This window comes from Homo sapiens, chromosome 1 (genome assembly GCF_000001405.40).
Source record: "Homo sapiens chromosome 1, GRCh38.p14 Primary Assembly".
NCBI classification, from domain to species: domain Eukaryota; kingdom Metazoa; phylum Chordata; class Mammalia; order Primates; family Hominidae; genus Homo; species Homo sapiens.
The window spans coordinates 96,436,651-96,454,881 of NC_000001.11; the positions used below are offsets into that span (position 1 = coordinate 96,436,651).

The 18,231-nt window shown below is 39.1% G+C and overlaps 1 pseudogene; it reads left to right on the forward strand.

The window, feature by feature from the left end:
- EEF1A1P11 (eukaryotic translation elongation factor 1 alpha 1 pseudogene 11) lies at positions 10,217-11,964 on the forward strand (annotated as a pseudogene).

The window sequence follows — 18,231 nt, forward strand, 5'->3', positions numbered from 1 at the left end:
ACGTTGTGTCTTTGTTCTCATTGGTTTCAAAGAACATTTTTATTTCTGCCTTCATTTCATTATTTACCCAGTAGTCATTCAGGAGCAGGTTGTTCAGTTTCCATGTAGTTGAGCAGTTTTGAGTGAGTTTCTTAATCCTGAGTTCTAGTTTGATTGCACTGTGGTCTGAGAGATAGTTTGTTATAATTTCTGTTATTTTACATTTGCTGAGGAGTGCTTTACTTCCAACTATGTGGTCAGTTTTGTAATAAGTACAGCGTTGTGCTGAGAAGAATGTATATTCTTTTGATTTGGAGTGGAGAGTTCTGTAGATGTCTATTAGATCCACTTGGTGCAGAGCTGAGTTCAATTCCTGGATATCCTTTTAACTTTCTGTCTTATGAATCTGTCTAATGTTGACAGTGGGGTGTTAAAGTGTCCCATTATTATTGTGTGGGAGTCTAAGTCTCTTTGTAAGTCTCTAAGGACTTACTTTATGAATCTGGGTGCTCCTGTATTGGGTGCATATATATTTAGGATAGTTAGCTCTTCTTGTTGAATTGATCCCTTTACGATTATGTAATGGCCTTCTTTGTCTCTTTTGATCGTTGTTGGTTTAAAGTCTGTTTTATCGGAGACTAGGATTGTAACCCCTCCTTTTATTTTGTTTTCCATTTGCTTGGTAAGTCTTCCTCCATCCCTTTATTTTGAGCTTATTTGTGTCTCTGCACGTGAGATGGGTCTCCTGAATACAGCACACTGATGGGCCTTGCCTCTTTATCCAATTTGCCAGTCTGTGTCTTTTTATTGGAGCATTTAGCCCATTTACATTTAAGGTTAATATTGTTATGTGTGAATTTGATCCTGTCGTTAAGATGTTAGCTGGTTATTTTGCTCATTAGCTGATGCAGTTTCTTCCTAGCATTGATGGTCTTTACAATTTGGCATGTTTTTGCAGTGGCTGGTACTGGTGGTTCCTTTCCATGTTTAGTGCTTCCTTCAGGAGCTGTTGTAAGGCAGGCCTGGTGGCGACAAAATCTCTCAGCATTTGCTTGTCTGTAAAGGATTTTATTTCTCCTTCACTTATGAAGCTTAGTTTGGCTGCATATGAAATTCTGGGTTGAAAATTCTTTTCTTTAAGAATGTTGAATATTGGCCCCTACTCTCTTCTGGCTTGTAGGGTTTCTGCCGAGAGATCCGCTGTTAGTCTGATGGGCTTCCCTTTGAGGGTAACCCGACCTTTCTCTCTGGCTGCCCTTAACATTTTTTCCTTCATTTCAACTTTGGTGAATCTGACAATTATGTGTCTTGGAGTTACTCTTCTCGAGGAGTATCTTTGTGGTGTTCTCTGTATTTCTTGAATTTGAATGTTGGCCTGCCTTGCTGGGTTGGGGAAGTTCTCCTGGATAATATCCTGCAGAGTGTTTTCCAACTTGGTTCCATTCTCCCCATCACTTTCAGGTACACCAGTCAGACGTAGATTTGGTCTTTTCACATAGTCACATATTTCTTAGAGGCTTTGTTCATTTCTTTTTACTCTTTTTTCTCTAAAATTCTCTTCTGCTTCATTTCATTCATTTTACCTTCAATCACTAATACTCTTTCTTCCACTTGATCAAATCAGCTACTGAAGCTTGTGCATGCATCACGTAGTTCTTGTGTTATGGTTTTCAGCTCCATCAGGTCATTTAAGGACTTCTCTGCACTGCTTATTCTAGTTAGCCATTCGTCTAATCTTTTTTCAAGGTTTTTAGCTTCTTTGCGATGGGTTCCAATATCCTCCTTTGGCTCAGAGAAGTTTATTACTGATCATCTGAAGCCTTCTCCTCTCAACTCGTCAAAGTCATTCTCTGTCCAGCTTTGTTCCGTTGCTGGCAAGGAGCTGCTTTCCTTTGGAGGAGAAGAAGCGCTCTGATTTTTAGAATTTCCAGCTTTTCTGCTCTGGTTTCTCCCCATCTTTGTGGTTTTATCTACCTTTGGTCTTTGATGATGGTGACGTACAGATGGAGTTTTGGTGTGGATGTCCTTTCTGTTTGTTAGTTTTCCTTCTAACAGTCAGGACCATCAGCTGCTGGTCTGTTGGAATTTGCTGGAGGTCCACTCCAGACCCTGTTTTCCTGGGTATCACCAGCGGAGGCTGCAGAACAGCAAATATTACAGAACGGCAGATGTTGCTGCCTATTCCTGCCTCTGGAAGCTTCGTCTCAGAGCGGCACCCGGCTGTATGAGCTATCAGTCGGCCCGTACTAGGAGGTGTCTCCCAGTTAGGCTACTAGGGGTCAGGGACCCACTTGAGGAGGCAGACTGTCTGTTCTCAGATCTCAAACTCCATACTGGGAGAACCACTACTCTCTTCAAAGCTGTCAGACAGGGACGTTTAAGTCTGCAGAAGTTTCTGCTGCATTTTGTTCAGCTATGCCCTGTCTCCAGAAGTGGAGTCTACAGAGGCAGGCAGGCCTTCTTGCGCTGTGGTGGGCTCCACCCAGTTTTAGCTTCCCTGCCCACAGCTTTGTTTACCTACTCAAGTCTCAGCAATGGCGGACACCCTCCCCCACACCACCCCGAGCCTCACTGCTGCCCTGCAGTTGGATCTCAGGCTGCTGTGCTAGCAGTGACCGAGGCTTCATGGGCATGGGACCCTCCGAGCCAGATGCAGGATATAATCTCCTGGTGTGCCGTTTGCTAAGGCCATTGGAAAAGCGCAGTATTAGGGTGGGAGTGTCCTGATTTTCCAGGTGCTGTCTGTCACAGCTTTGCTTGGCTAGGGAAGGGAATTCCCTGACCCCTTGCGCTTCCCAGGTGAGGCAATGCCCCACCCTGCTCTGTGGACTGCACCAACTGTCTGATAAGCCCCAGTGAGATGAACCCTGTACCTCAGTTGGAAATGCAGAAATCACCCATCTTCTGCCTCACTCACCCTGGGAGCTGCAGACTGGAGCTGTTCCTATTTGGCCATCTTGGATCTTTTTCCAACTCTGAAGTTCTTTCTTTTACTTGTTCAATTCTATTACTGAGACTTTCCAGTGCATTTTGCATTTCTCTAAGTGTGTTCTTAATTTCCAGAAGTTGTGATTGTTATTTATTTATGCTGTCGATTTCACTGAAGATTTATTCCTTCATATCCTGTATCATGTTTTTGATTTCTTTAAGTTGGACTTCACCTTTCTCTGGTGCCTCCTTGATTAGCTTAATAACTGACCTCCTGAATTCTTTTTCTGGCAATTCAGAAATTTCATCTTGGCTTGGATCCATTGCTGGTGAGCTGGTATGATCTTTTGGGGGTGTTAAGGAAACTCGTTCTGTCATATTACCAGAATTGTTTTTCTGGTTCTTTCTCATTTGGGTAAAGTATGCCAGAGGGAAGATCTGGGACTCAAGCACTGCTATTCAGGTTATTTTGTCCCATGGGGTGTTCCGTTGATGTGGTGTTCTCTCTCCTCCCTAGGAATGGGGCTTCCTGAGAGTGAAACTATAGTGATTGTTTTTTTCTTCTGGGTCTAGCCATCCAGCGGAACTACTGGGCTCCAGCCTGGTACTGGGGAGTGTCTGCAGAGTCCTGTGATGTTATTTGTCTTCAGGTCTTGCAGCCATGGATACCAGCACCTGCTCCGGTGGAGGCAGCAGGGGAATGAGGTGGATTCTGTGAGGGGCCTTGGTTGTGTGTTTGTTTAGTGTGCTGGTTTCGTGTTGGTTGGCCTCCATCAAGGAGGTGATGCTTTCAAGAGTGCATCAGCTGTGGTCAGTTTTTCAGCATCTCAGGGAGCCTGCAGGGGTGATTCAGTTCCTTCAAAGGGTCTGTGGATTCTCTAGAGTCTCCTGGTATGTTCCTGCCGTTGTTCTTGGAGAAAAAGTTCACAATGTGAGTCTCCACACACTGCTCTGTCTGTCCAAGGGGGAGCTGCAACCTAGTCCTGCCTCCTATCTGCCATCTTAATCCTCAATAGACTTCCTACAAAGCCAAACATTCTCTTTGCTCTTTGTTCAAAATATTACTCAATTTTTCTAGATAGGTTAACAGACCTACCTAAAAAGATGAAAGTGTGTATGAGGTACCAGTGCCTCTGCTAACTTATTTAAACAAACTCCCCCAAAACAGTTTTCTACTACACTTCCCATAATGCCAACACGTTTGGGCACTCTGACACCAAACAGCTACTACTGAAACCAGGCCCTGGAGTTTAGGATACTAACTCTGAGTTGGACACCTGAGTTATGTGCAACATGTTGGCTTAGTTTGGACACCAACTAACTGGACCCACATTTGGGCATGCTAGTGGTAGGGCTAGTTAGGGATTATTTCAAGAATGGGTCTATCTACATAAGGGGTTCCCACTCCCAACACTTGGCAAACATCACCAACAATCTCCACATTTCCAATTCGAATAGACACTTCAGTTTTAATCCTACCCTAGCAGAGATGGCTATCCATCAAAAATGTGTGCCCCATCTCCCAGATTTAGAATAGTTTCTGTGAAGTGGCTGCCAGCCAAGAACTACATACTCAGCCTCCCTTGCATCTAGAGGACCCATGTGTTTGTTAGTCCTCTCCTATAGAATTTGTGTGGAAGTAATGTGTGATACCTCAGGTCAATGCGGTTCAGAAGAAAGTGTGCAGCACCTTCGCTTTACCCATCTGCTAGACAGATAGCAAGAATTCCAAAAAGCTAGGGGATGGCCAAGCCATATAATGGATAGAGTCTGCATCTTTGAATTACCAGGAGGAGGAAAGCTGACTGATAATCAGAATTATTCAACTTGAATAATTAGGGTTAATAACTTAGTGTGTTATGTTACAACACTTTGGGTATTTGTTACAGCACCTTATGTTACCCTAATTAATATATGTATTAATTAATATGGTAATTAATACCTCTCTGCTGCATTTTACACTGTTGATTGTGTCTTCCTTGACATTTGCTACTGCCTGTAGTGATTCTATCCTCTTTGACCACTTACTTACTCCACACCAACCTTCTATCTTGAATCCTTTTTCTCTGCCTCTCTTTTAAAGTTGGCATTCTCCATCCTTAGTCCGCTGCCTGCATTGCTCCTGCTACACAATCCCATTACAACTTTAAAGCATATTGTTCACTTCCGAATTTTATCACTTGCCTAATTTTTAGCCTGTAATTTGTTCCCATCCTTCCTGTAACCCCAATTCATTCCCTACTTTATTCTCAGTAACTGGCACCATCATTCTGTCAGAAAAGAGCACTGCAAATCATCCCAGACTCCTATTCTTTTCTCATTTTCTATATTCAGTGCTTTACCAAGTCTGGAAAACTTTACCTCCTAAGTAATTTATAGATCCATGCTGTCATCCCTACCCTAAATAACATTGTCCTAGTTCAGACTCATCATTTCTCACTTAGGCCACTCCAGAACACAGTGGCTAGTCACACAAATTTTGAAATTAGGTAGACCTTCATTCAAGTCTCAGACTTGCAACTAATTCTTAGCTGTGTGATCTGGTAGAGGATAACTAATCTAAATTCACTTCTTCCCACTTGTAATGGTAAATACTAATAGTATTAATAGTAAGTAGTAAATACTAATAGTACTTTCCAAATGGGCTGTTATAAGCAGTGAAGGAAATCAGGTAGAGAGGCCTGAAGACAGCCTGGCCATAGAGTAGAGCACCATAATGTTAGTTATTATGGAGATTCAGTGCTTCCAAACTCACCTCCATGAATCCACTCCCCATAAGACAGTGATCTCTCTAAAATACAAATTCTGCCATCTTTCAATCCTGCCAAGAGGACAGAAAACCAAAATTGGGTATAAGAAATACAGATAGCTTTGAGAGGAATCAGAAACTGATTAGGGTGATACTTGATGGTCATCTTGCTAAAAATGCCTATAGGAAAATATATAAATTGGATGAATTTGCCTTTGTGAGTAAATTAAATTTATTTTTAAAATACCCTTTATTTCCCTTTATCTCCTCTGGATTGGATCTGTACATTAAAACTCAAGTACTAAATTAGTCACTATCTAAATTTAGCATAAACTATACTTACTGCATAATTGCCAACTCATTTGTTTACTTACAGAACATGCTTAACGGCTTAAAAATAGGAAATTAAAATTAACCAAAATGTTTTGTAAGAGAACATAATATGAAGAAAACTCTAAGTATAGGACATTTTAATTTGCATTCCCATTCTTTCCACACTCATCTCAGCTCAGTAATATTTTCCTCTCCTTAAAAAAAAAATCTCATTTACAAGGTACCCTACATAGACAATGCGAACGTTTGGATGACAAAAGATACACGGGTTATTAGAGAAGAAAGAACCAAAGAGGTATAAAAGCATGAGTGACTACACATCTACCAAATGCCTGACAATGGGAACGTTCTCCACATGTGTTGTCTCATTTAATTCTCAAAATGAAAATCAAATTAAAAAGAAACCCTAAGATTTATGTATGTACCATGTACCATGAGAAATATAGACAGCTGACTGGAACAACACAGGTTTGAACTGTGTGGGCCCACTTACACGCAGACTATCTTCCACTTCTGCCACCTCTGAGACATCAAGACCAAACCCTCCTCCTCCTCCTCCTCATTCTATTCAACATGAAGACAATGATATTTATGATGATTATTATTTTTTTTGAGACAGAATCTTGCTCTGTCATCCAGGCTGGAGTGCACTGGTGTGATCTCAGCTCGCTGCAACCTCCACCTCCCAGGTTCAAGGGATTCTCCTGCCTCAGCCTCCAGAGTAGCTGGGATTACAGGTGCACACGACTATGCCCGGCTAATTTTTGTATTTTTGGTAGAGACGGGGTTTTCACCATGTTGGCCAGGCTGGTCTCAAACTCCTGAGCTCAAATGATCAGCCTGCCTCAGCCTGCCAAAGTGCTGGGATCACAAGCATGAGCCACTGCGCCTGGCTGATGATGACTGACCTCCACTTCATGAATATTAAATAAATTTTCTCTTTCTTATGATTTTCTTAATAACATTTTTTCTCTAGCTTAATTTACTTTAAGAATATACTATATGCTTATATATACTACATACAACATACACAATATGTGTTAATTGATTGTTTATATTATTGGTAAGGCCTCTGGTCAACAGTAGACTATCAGTAGTTAACTTTTGGGGGTGCCAAAAGCTATACATGAAGTTCTACTGTGCAGGAAGTCAGCAACCCAAGCACCCACCTTGTTCAAAAGTCAACTATAACTCCTGTTTTACAGAAAAGAACCTAAAGACCCAGTGAAGTTAGCTACTTGCCTGAACTCATACAGGAAAAGTATTTATTTGCCAGGGACTTGCTTGTACTTTTATGTGACACCAAAGTCCAAAGTCCAGTTTTATACTATTATATCCTAGATCTCCAAACTATTTAAAGGGTCTATAAAACTAGGTATTTGACTATTCTTTACACTTCTATTATTGTATGTGAACAAAAAGAAAGTACAGGTTTTGGATACCCACTTTTCACATTGTCACATGGTTCACATCTGCATGGGAGCTGTGAAATCTAGAAACTTCTCTGGGGAAGAAACCAGCCAGAAAAGGCACAGAAGCACAAAGAATACACATGTCCCTGTGGGATCATCCTCCATTCCTCAGCCCTTCCCACTTAATGAATTAAACATCCCCTAGTTTCCTGTAATTTAGGCTTCAGGCTTTTTGGAGAATAAATTCATATTCTTCTCTTTCCGTGCCATAGTGAGAAGGAGTTCTCTAAAGCAGCAGAAAACGAGTGATTGGTGAATAATTTTTCTTAATCAGATTCTTTCTGCAACACTGATCTCATTATTTGTTCACCAGACAAGTACCTACCAAATCTATTCACAATTTTTTTTAAATTACACAGATAGTAGTATTGAACTATGCCTTAATTAGGGCAGCCAAGAATGTTTTGTATAATTAACTGGGCTTTGTTTACAATTGTTTCCTTGTGTTAGAATGCTTTCTCTGTGTAATTGGGCCGATGCTAATAGTAACACCCACCTTTTATTGTCATAGGAGAGAAACTGCAGGACACGCAGAAGAAACAAAACCATACCTGAGACAGCAAACAAAAAGAATGAGACACAGGCTCTCTTTCTACTCTCTGTTTTGCCTCAGGATGAACACAGTCTCCCTAACCTCTGACCTCATCTACTGCAGCTCCTGACATCTGGGTTCCTTTATCCCCTCAAGTGAAAATTCTTCGTTCACTTTTGGAAAATGGAGTGATGCCTTTTCTCAGTGTGATCCACTCTCCAATCTCCCAGGCTCTGCTATGTGCCCTGGGAGGCTGATCTGTTTGGAAGACAGCAACATCCTTTGACTTACCATTGAGTTTACCCAATAGGGAACCCTAGCAAGAGATGTGGAAGGAGGAAGGCAGGGAGGGAAGGGGAGAGGAGTGACAGATGGAAAGGCGAGAGGAAGAAAAGTAACATCTCAGTATTAGTCCCTTAGATCCTTCCAAGCAGTTATCATGGGTAGACTGTGTCCAATCTGTAAGCCAAATGTCTTAGCTCCTATAAACAGCCTTCTCCAAATAGCCACCCCTGTCTGTCACTCAGGCAATCACTGTCTCCTCTTATCACCTATCTCCAAAGTTAGTAAGAGAATATTGCCATTATACTTTCCCAAGGTATGGCATGAACTCTTGTAGTTGCACTACACCTTACCAAAGCTTTGTAAATAGTCCCTACTAAACTCTCCACATGTTATAATTTGACTGTGACCTCTATTCCTTGCTAGAATTCAAGTTAGTAAGGTTGACACAGCCTGAATTTGTAACACCATGTACTTCTATCCATGCACATGCCCTTAAGTTCCAGAAGAGTACAGGAGTGATAGGATTCTCAGTTGTAAGGAATGTGGGAATTCTCTCAATGAGTAATTAAGCAACAGTATTCAAGGAACTAGGGTGTCGCTGTGCAGACTTAGAAGCCTTGCTTTTGTGAAGCCCTTAGCCAAATACAATTGTCTAGATCATGCTGCTGAACAAGCACAGGAATTTTATAAATACTGACAGAGTTTTTTTCCTGTAAATTTTGCTAACTGTGGTTTGTGTGCTATTAACATAAGAATCTAAATACTCTGTCAATTCTCACCATGTTCCTTCTGCTTGATATTTCAGATACAGTTTCTTAGAAAGAAAGTTCAAAGAAAAAAGAAATAGGATAGAAATAAGGATAACTAAACTCTATTAAATACACCACGTTTTTTATCTCTCTAGGGTATGGGGCAATTTGCTATGTACCTAGGTTCCTACCTTCAGGCATCCCTTAGCGCAGTGGAGTAGACAGATTGTTATACGGTATAAAAGAGAGAAAATTGTATTTTCCTTTGAGTAGTAAAAGTAGTCTTAATGGCTTGACAGAGAGAGAAAGGCAAATCTGAAAGGATCAAATCAGGTGTATTAAGAAAAGAATAGGAATTACAGAAAGAATAACAGTGTCAAGGATAAGGAGGCATTAAAAAAAATAAAACAGGGCCAGGCGCGGTGGCTCATGCCTGTAATTCCAGCACTTTGGGAGGCCGAGGTGGGCAGATCACCTGAGATCCGGAGTTCAGGACCAGCCTGACCAACATAGAGAAACCCCATCTCTACTAAAAATACAAAAAACTTAGCTGGGCATGGTGGAGCATGCCTGTAACCTCAGCTACTCAGGAGACTGAGGCAGGAGAATCACTTGAACCTGGAAGGCGGAGGTTGCGGTGAGCCAAGATCGCACCATTGCACTCCAGCCTGGGCAACTCGGTCCCAAAAAATAAATAAATAAAAATAAATAAATAAATAAATAAAACAATTGGAATGTAAAAGAAATCTGTAATCCCAGCACTTTGACAGGCTGAGACAGGATGATCACTTGAGGCCAGAAGTTCAATTTCTGCCTGGGCAACATAGCAAGACTCCACTTCTTTAAAAAAAGAAAAAAAAGAAAGAAAATATATTATTTGTGGTCCTTATATGCTCGTTTCAAAAAAGGGCATATTAGGACCACAAAAACATGAGAAACCTAATTAAACAGACATGTAGGCCCAGACCAAGTTAAAGTCAAAAACAACTTTTTTGAAAGGACTAGATAAATTAGTAAAACTCGACAAGGCTGAACAATGGGAAATAAAAGAAAGCAGAAATTGGAAAAAGGGGACAGAAGACAAAATAGGGACAGAAATAAAATTTTTCTATAGGCATTAAAAAGATAAAAAAACTATTAAAAATTGTATCTAATAAATTATGTAATTTATGTGAAATGAACAAGTTAGCTTTTTCACAACGGGTTTGCTGCCAGAACACAGGTGTCGTGAAAACTACCCCTAAAAGCCAAAATGGGAAAAGAAAAGACTCATATCAACATTGTCGTCATTGGACACGTAGATTCGGGCAAGTCCACCACTTCTGGCCATCTGATCTACAAATGCGGTGGCATCGACAAAAGAACAATTGAAAAATTGCAGAAAGAGGCTGCTGAGATGGGAAAGGGCTCCTTCAAGTATGCCTGAGTCTTGGATAAACTGAAAGCTGAGCGTGAACGTGGTATCACCATTGATATCTCCTTGTGGAAATTTGAGACCAGCAAGTACTATGTGACTATCATTGATGCCCCAGGACACAGAGACTTCATCAAAAACATGATTACAGGGACATCTCAGGCTGGTTGTGCTGTCCTAATTGTTGCTGCTGGTGTTGGTGAATTTGAAGCTGGTATCTCCAAGAATGGGCAGACCCGAGAGCATGCCCTTCTGGCATATACACTGGGTGTGAAACAACTAATTGTTGATGTTAACAAAATGGATTCCACTGAGCCACCCTACAGCCAGAAGAGATATGAGGAAATTGTTAAGGAAATCAGCACTTACATTAAGAAAATTGGCTACAACCCCAACACAGTAGCATTTGTGCCAATTTCTGGTTAGAATGGTGACAACATGCTGGAGCCAAGTGCTAACATGCCTTGGTTCAAGGGATGGAAAGTCACCCATAAGGATGGCAATGCCAGTGGAACCATGCTGCTTGAGGCTCTGGACTGCATCCTACCACCAACTCGTCCAACTGACAAGCCCTTGCGCCTGCCTCTCCAGGATGTCTACAAAATTGGTGGTATTGGTACTGTTCTTGTTGGCCGAGTGGAGACTGGTATTCTCAAACCTGGTATGGTGGTCACCTTTGCTCCAGTCAGCGTTACAACAGAAGTAAAATCTGTCGAAATGCACCATGAAGCTTTGAATGAAGCTCTTCCTGGGGACAATATGGGCTTCAATGTCAAGAATGTGTCTGTCAAGGATGTTCATCGTGGCAACGTTGCTGGTGACAGCAAAAATGACCCACCAATGGAAGCAGCTGGCTTCACTGCTCAGGTGATTATCCTGAACCATCCGGGCCAAATAAGCTCTGGCTATGCACCTGTATTGGATTGCCACACAGCTCACATTGCATGCAAGTTTGCTGAGCTGAAGGAAAAGATTGATCGCCGTTCTGGTAAAAAGCTGGAAGATGGCCCTAAATTCTTGAAGTCTGGTGATGCTGCCATTGCTGATATGGTTCCTGGCAAGCCCATGTGTGTTGAGAGCTTCTCAGACTATCCACCTTTGGGTCGCTTTACTGTTCATGATATGAGACAGACACTTGCGGTGGGTGTCATCAAAGCAGTGGACAAGAAGGCTGCTGGAGCTGGCAAGGTCACCAAGTCTGCCCAGAAAGCTCAGAAGGCTAAATGAATATTATCCCTAATACCTGCCACCCCACTCTTAATCAGTGGTGGAAGAACGGTCTCAGAACTGTTTGTTTCAATTGGCCATTTAAGTTTAGTAGTAAAAGACTGGTTAATGATAATAATGCAACATAAAACCTTCAGAAGGAAAGGAGAATGTTTTGTGGACCACTTTGGTTTTCTTTTTCGCATGCAGCAGTTTTAAGTTATTAGTTTTTAAAATCAGTACTTTTTAAATGGAAACAACTTGACCAAAAATTTGTCACAGAATTTTGAGACCCATTAAAAAAGTTTAATGAGAAAAAAAAAAAAGAAATGAACAAGTTACTTGAAAATATAATTTATAAAAATGATACAAAAATAAGTAGAACACCTGAATTGTCTAATTCTATTTAAGAAATTTATTTTATACTGGAAAAATCTTCCCGCAGGGAAATCTCCAAGCCAAGAGAGATTTACTGGGGATATTTCTAGACAGTTAAAGAAGAAATAACACTAACTTTACACAAATTCCTCAAGAAATATTTTTAAAAGAAGGGTACCGTTTCCAACTTATTTTATAAGTTCCTCATAGCTTTGATAACAGAACTGAACAAAGATATGACAAAAAAGGAAACTGACAGGCCAATAGCTCTCATAAAGAAAGATACACAATCTTAAAATTATCAAAGTAAAACCAGTGATCTAAAAGATAATATATCATATCCAAGTGGTTTCATTTGAAAAATGAAGTTTGTTTACAAATACTCAAAAATCAATTAATTTAAATTTCTATAATAAAACAAAAAGGAACAAAATTACATGATAATTTCATTAGATTCAGGAAAAGCATTTGATGAAATGCAACACATATTTATGCTTTAAAAAATAACTTTTAGGAAATAAGAAATGCAAAGGAACTTTCTTACTCTGACAAAATCTATGTCTAAAAAGACTTAAACAAATATTCTACTTAATGGTAAAAGACTGAAAGCAATTACCTTGAGATACTGAATGAGTCAAGGATACAATGTCTAAATGTAAGTGCAATGAGAGATGAAAAAAATAAGAGCTTAAAGATAAGTAAAAAATCTTTCATTCAGAAGTTACACAATATTGAACATAGAAATTCAAAAATAATCTTCATAAGTAAACTATTAGACATATTAGGTAAAATTAGTAGAGTAAATATATAAACACTATATTTCTGCATACTAGCTAAAAAAGAAAATAAATTTTAATGGTACTATTAATAATAGTATCAGAAACACAATATTTATAAAAATAAATTCAACTAAATTATGTAAGACCTCTACACATAAAATTACAAAGCATTGTTGGGAGAAATTTTAAAAGCCCGAAATAAATAAAGGGATATACCATGGTCATTGATTAGAAGTTTCAGTGTCGTAGAGATGTTAGTCCTTCCTAGATTGATTCAGTTCAATCCTAATCAAATTTTCAGCATGTTTTTGTGTTAGAATGTAGGAAAATTCAACATATTAATTCTTAAATATATATGAAACTTCAAAGGACTAAGAAAATCAAGACAATTTTGTTTGTTTGTTTTGAGGCAGGGTCTCACTCTGTCGCCAAGGCTGGAGTGCAATGGCGTGGTCACGGCTGACCGTAACCCTGACCTCCCATGCTCAGGTGATCCTTTTACCTCAGTCTCCCAGGTGGCTGGGACTACAGGGGCATGCTACTGTGCCTGATTTATTTTTGTATTTTTTGTAGAGACAGGGTTTTACTATGTTGGAGACCACACTGGTCTCCAACTCTTGGGCTCAAGCAGTCTGCCTGCCTTGGTCTACCAAATTGCCAAGTGTGAGCCACAGTGCCCAGCCCCAGGACAATTTTGAAGCAAAAAAAGATTTATTATAATGTTACAACAATTAAGATAATATGATGTATAAACACGATAATCAATTAATCCAGTGAAACAGTACTGAGTCCCAAAAGGAATCACATGTTTGCAGTTCACTGAAAGCTGGCAAAGCTGATACTACAACCCAGTAAATAAGGAACACTCTTCCCAGGCACGGTGGCTCATGTCTGTAATCACAGCACTTTGGGAGGCCAACGCAGGTGGATCACCTGAAGTCAGGTGTTTGAGACCAGCCTGGCCAACATGGCGAAATCCTGTCCCTACTAAAAATACAAAAATTAGCTGGCCGTGGTGGTGCTGCCTGTAATCCCAGCTACTCAGCCAGCTGAGGCAGGAGAATCACTTGAACCCAGAAGGCAGAGGTTGCAGTGAGCTGAGATCATGCCACTGCACTCCAGCCTGGGCGACAGAGTGAGACTCCACCTCAAAAAAAAAAAAAAAAACTCTTTATAATAAGTTGTGGTAGGTCATATGAGATTGGGTATTTATATAAAAATATTTATCTATCTTAACCCCATGCTTATACTACCACAAAAGTCAATAGCAGATGATCGCAGACACAAATGGAAGGCTAAAATACAAACACTTCTGGAAAATAATATAAGATAATATTTTATGATGTTGAGGTAGGCAAAGATTTCTTAAACAGAACATAAAAAGTGCTACTCAAAAAGGAAAAGACTGATACATTACATTTAAGTTTAGAACATCCATTTATTAAATGCACTAGAAGAGAAGAAAAATTCAAGTCATAGAATGAGAGAAGGTATTTCCAAAACATATATCCAACAAATAACTCATACCTGGAATATATTTTTTGAAAACTGCTACTTGTCAATAAAGCAAATACAGACAAACCAATATAAAAATAAGCAAAACATTTCAAAAAATGATATGCAAATAGCAGTAAGTATATGACAAGATACTCCACTTTGACAGTTATCAAGGAAATGAAAATTAAAACCACTATGAAGTACCTCTATATTCTCACCAGAATAACTAAAATAAAAGGGACTGATTTATCAAGGATTTGGAGGAACTGGCGCTCCCATAAACTGCTGGTGGGTGTGCTAATTGACAGAACCACCTTGGAAACAGGTACCGTCAACTAAAGTCAATCACATATATAGCTTGCAATTCAGTAATTCTAGTTTTAGGGATTTACTCCTGAAAAATAGATGCATATGTGCAGAATAGATATATAACAGTGTTCCTAGCAGCACCATTCATAATAGTCAAAACTTGCAAACAATTCAGAGTATTCATTGGCAGTAGAATCGATAAATAAATTGTGGTATTGGCCGGGCATGGTGGCTCACACTTGTAATCTCAGCACTTTGGGTAACCTAGGCGGGCAGATCACCTAAGGTCAAGAGTTCAGGACCAGCCCGGCCAACACCGTGAAACTCCGTCTCTACCAAAAATACAAAAAATTAGCAGAGCATGGTGGCGCATGCCTGTAATCCTAGCTACTCAGGAGGCTGAAGTAGGAGAATCACTTGAACCTGGAAGGTGGAGGTTGCAGTGAGCCGAGATCATGCCACTGCACTCCAGCCTGGGCAACAGACTCTGTCTCAAAAAAAATGTGGTATAATCATACAATCATGTACTAGAAAGCAATGAAAATATATGAAATATTGCCTCAAGTTTTCCTTGAGTGGCTGAATTTGATTTAGGTTCTTGTCTCCTCCTATGTTTATCACCCTGTGTATGCTACCATAATAGAACCTGTTAGAATAGACACTTTAGTAGTCACTGGTCCACCAGCTATATTCTAGGATAAGCTGCAAACAATTTTTTTTGTGGTCAAGAGCTTTATCTTATATGACTTTGTATTTATAGAGTCAAACTTAGCCAGTGCCCAATGAATTATTATTGAATAAATGAGTAACCAGATAAATTTTTAAAAAAGAAATATTGCCTCATGCACTAACATGATTAATTTTAATTATAATATTATGTTTTACAAACATAAGATTGAGCAAAGAAGTCAGAAACCAAAAAGAGCATTGTATTATTTAATTATATTAAGTTCAAGAAACCGGCAAAACTAATCTATGTGGATGAAAGTCAGTATGGTAGTTTTTTTGGAGCAATGATTGGGAAAGTGTATAAGGAGTGCTTCTGTTGTGATGGTCATAGATTATTTCACGATCTAGATAGTTTTAAATAAACATGTTCATATTGTGACAATTCACTAAGCTGATGATTTATTCAGTTTACCGTGTGCAAATATTTTTGAATAGATGAGTAATTAATTTATCTATTAAATAGAATAGATAAATGAATCAATTAATATGTAAATAAAGAATTGGCTCAGCCAAAAAAGAGCCAATTGTAAATATTATGATAAAATCAAGAGATGAGTGAATTTCAAGAAAGAGTGGACGGTTAACAGTGCCTATTGCTGAAAAGTTAAAAGGCAGTTTTTTTAAGGACACTGTCTGTGATAATGAGGAGGATATTGCCTCTCTCTGGATACGCATCAGTTTTGAGGGGTTCCAGATTTAGGATGAGATGGTCTCACTCTCACACTACTGATTGCTGGTCTAAAGGGGGTGACAGTGTTTATGATAAAGAGGTTTATTGGTACTGTTAAGTGTTTGGGGTTTGGATTTGGGGCAGGGGGTTTCTCTGTTTTTTGTGGAGTTTTTAAATGAAATTAACCAATAAAATTAACCCAATAGTTCATTGTTCTTTTAAATAGACACAGTCCCAAAAAAGTCTAATTAAAACGTATCTAGGCCAGGTGTGGTGGCTCACCCTGTAACCCCAGTACTTTGAGAGGCAGAGGCAGAAGAATCACCCAAGAGTTCAAGACCAGCCTGGGCAAGATTGTGAGATACTCTAGCTACAAAAAAAAAAAAAAAAAAAAAAAATTTAAACATTAGCCAGGTTTGGTGGTGCACTTCTGTGGTCCTAGCTGCTCAAGAGGCTGAGGCAGAAGAATCCCTTGAGCCTGGAGGATACAGTGAGCTGGACTGATATAGTGAGCTGTACTGATATAGTGAGCTGTGAGTGGCCATTGCACTCCTGCACACCAGCCTGGGTGAGAGAGCAAGAACCTGTCTCTAAGGAAAATAAAAAATGTATCTAATATGTTTTCTAATTTTGGTAAATGGAATAACTCTTACATTGCCATTCTTATTTTACATGTGTTCAAGAAGGAATAAAAAGTATGGCTGCATTGCAATTCAACACAAGCCAGTCAACTTGGTTAACTTTAGCTAACATTTTATAGCTCTATTTCCTTATTTCATAAGAGTAAGGTCATAAACTAGCTTTATAATCAGCTGAGCAAATCTCCCCATTACTAATGGAGTTAAGATGACAGCATTTCTGTTAGTTTGTTCCATGAAAATCTTATAGATGAGCCCAAAATCTCCAAAGTTCTTTATGCACTGATGGTTATCCCTAAGCTTTGTTTCTTTGACAAATATATATGGAGTGCCCAACATGTGTCCTGGGAAGCTAAAACACATTTACTGACATTAATATCCTCTTGAGAAAGTTCTAGAAATGTTAAGCAACAATTACTTTGCATTGTGCTCTCTTTATATAACTACTTCATTCTCTCAATACCCAAATTTCTTTCTAAATGGAGGGAGGTAGAGTAAAATTTTATCCTAAGATTTGAGTATATGTGTATATACACAAATATATTTGTGTATGTGTTATTCAAAAGGACTCAGTTCACACTTTGAAACCAAACCACTGCAATAGGTAAAAAGTAACTTTAATTCTATTCTGAAAAGAACCTCTTCTTTAAACATAGGCATAATTTAATCATTGATACCATGAATGGACATTTGATGGTTGCTTATAAACAATGCATAATTGTATAATAATTCACTAGTGTATTTAAGAGCACAATTTTTTAAAGGATGTATTCTTAGGTCACACAGGTCTGAATTGGGTTCTCAGAGCTATTGCCTTCTAGTTATGTGACCTTGGCAAATTCTTTCATATCTGAAAGCCTCAGGGTTTTTTTCATATGTTAAATGAAAATCATAACCACCTTAAACATTGTTAGGAGAAATTCACAATATAAGGTATAAAAAGCTTTTAGTAGAGTGTTGGTAATATAGTAAGTACTAAATAAATGAAAGCTATTCAAAAGACTTGTAATTGTTCTTAGATGTATTTTTAAATTAACTATTTTTTAGAAAAGCTTTAGGTTCACAGGTAAATTGAGGGGAAGGTACATAGATTTCCCATATATCTTGTGGCTCCACATACTGATAGCCTCTCCCACTATCAACATCCCCCTTCAAAGTGGTACACTTGTTACAATTAATGGACCTACGTCGGCACGTCATTATCAGCCAAAGTCCATAATTTGCATTGGGGTTTACTACTTGTGTTATATAATCTGTGGCTTTGGACAGATGTATAATGACATGTGGCCACCATTATAGTATCATACAGAATAGTTTCACTGCCCCAAAATTCCTCTGTGCTCTGCCTATGCGTCTCTGACAAATCCCTGAGAACAGATATTTTTTACGTTTTTTTAAATTGTTACCATAGTTTTGCCTTTTTAACAATGTCATTTAGTAGGAAATCGTGTAGTATATACTGTTTTCAGATTGGTTTTTTCATTTGGTAATATGCATTTAAAGTTCTTTCATGTCTATTTATGGCTTGACATTTAGCACTAAATCATATCCATTGTCTGCACGTGCCACCTGCTCAAGGATATC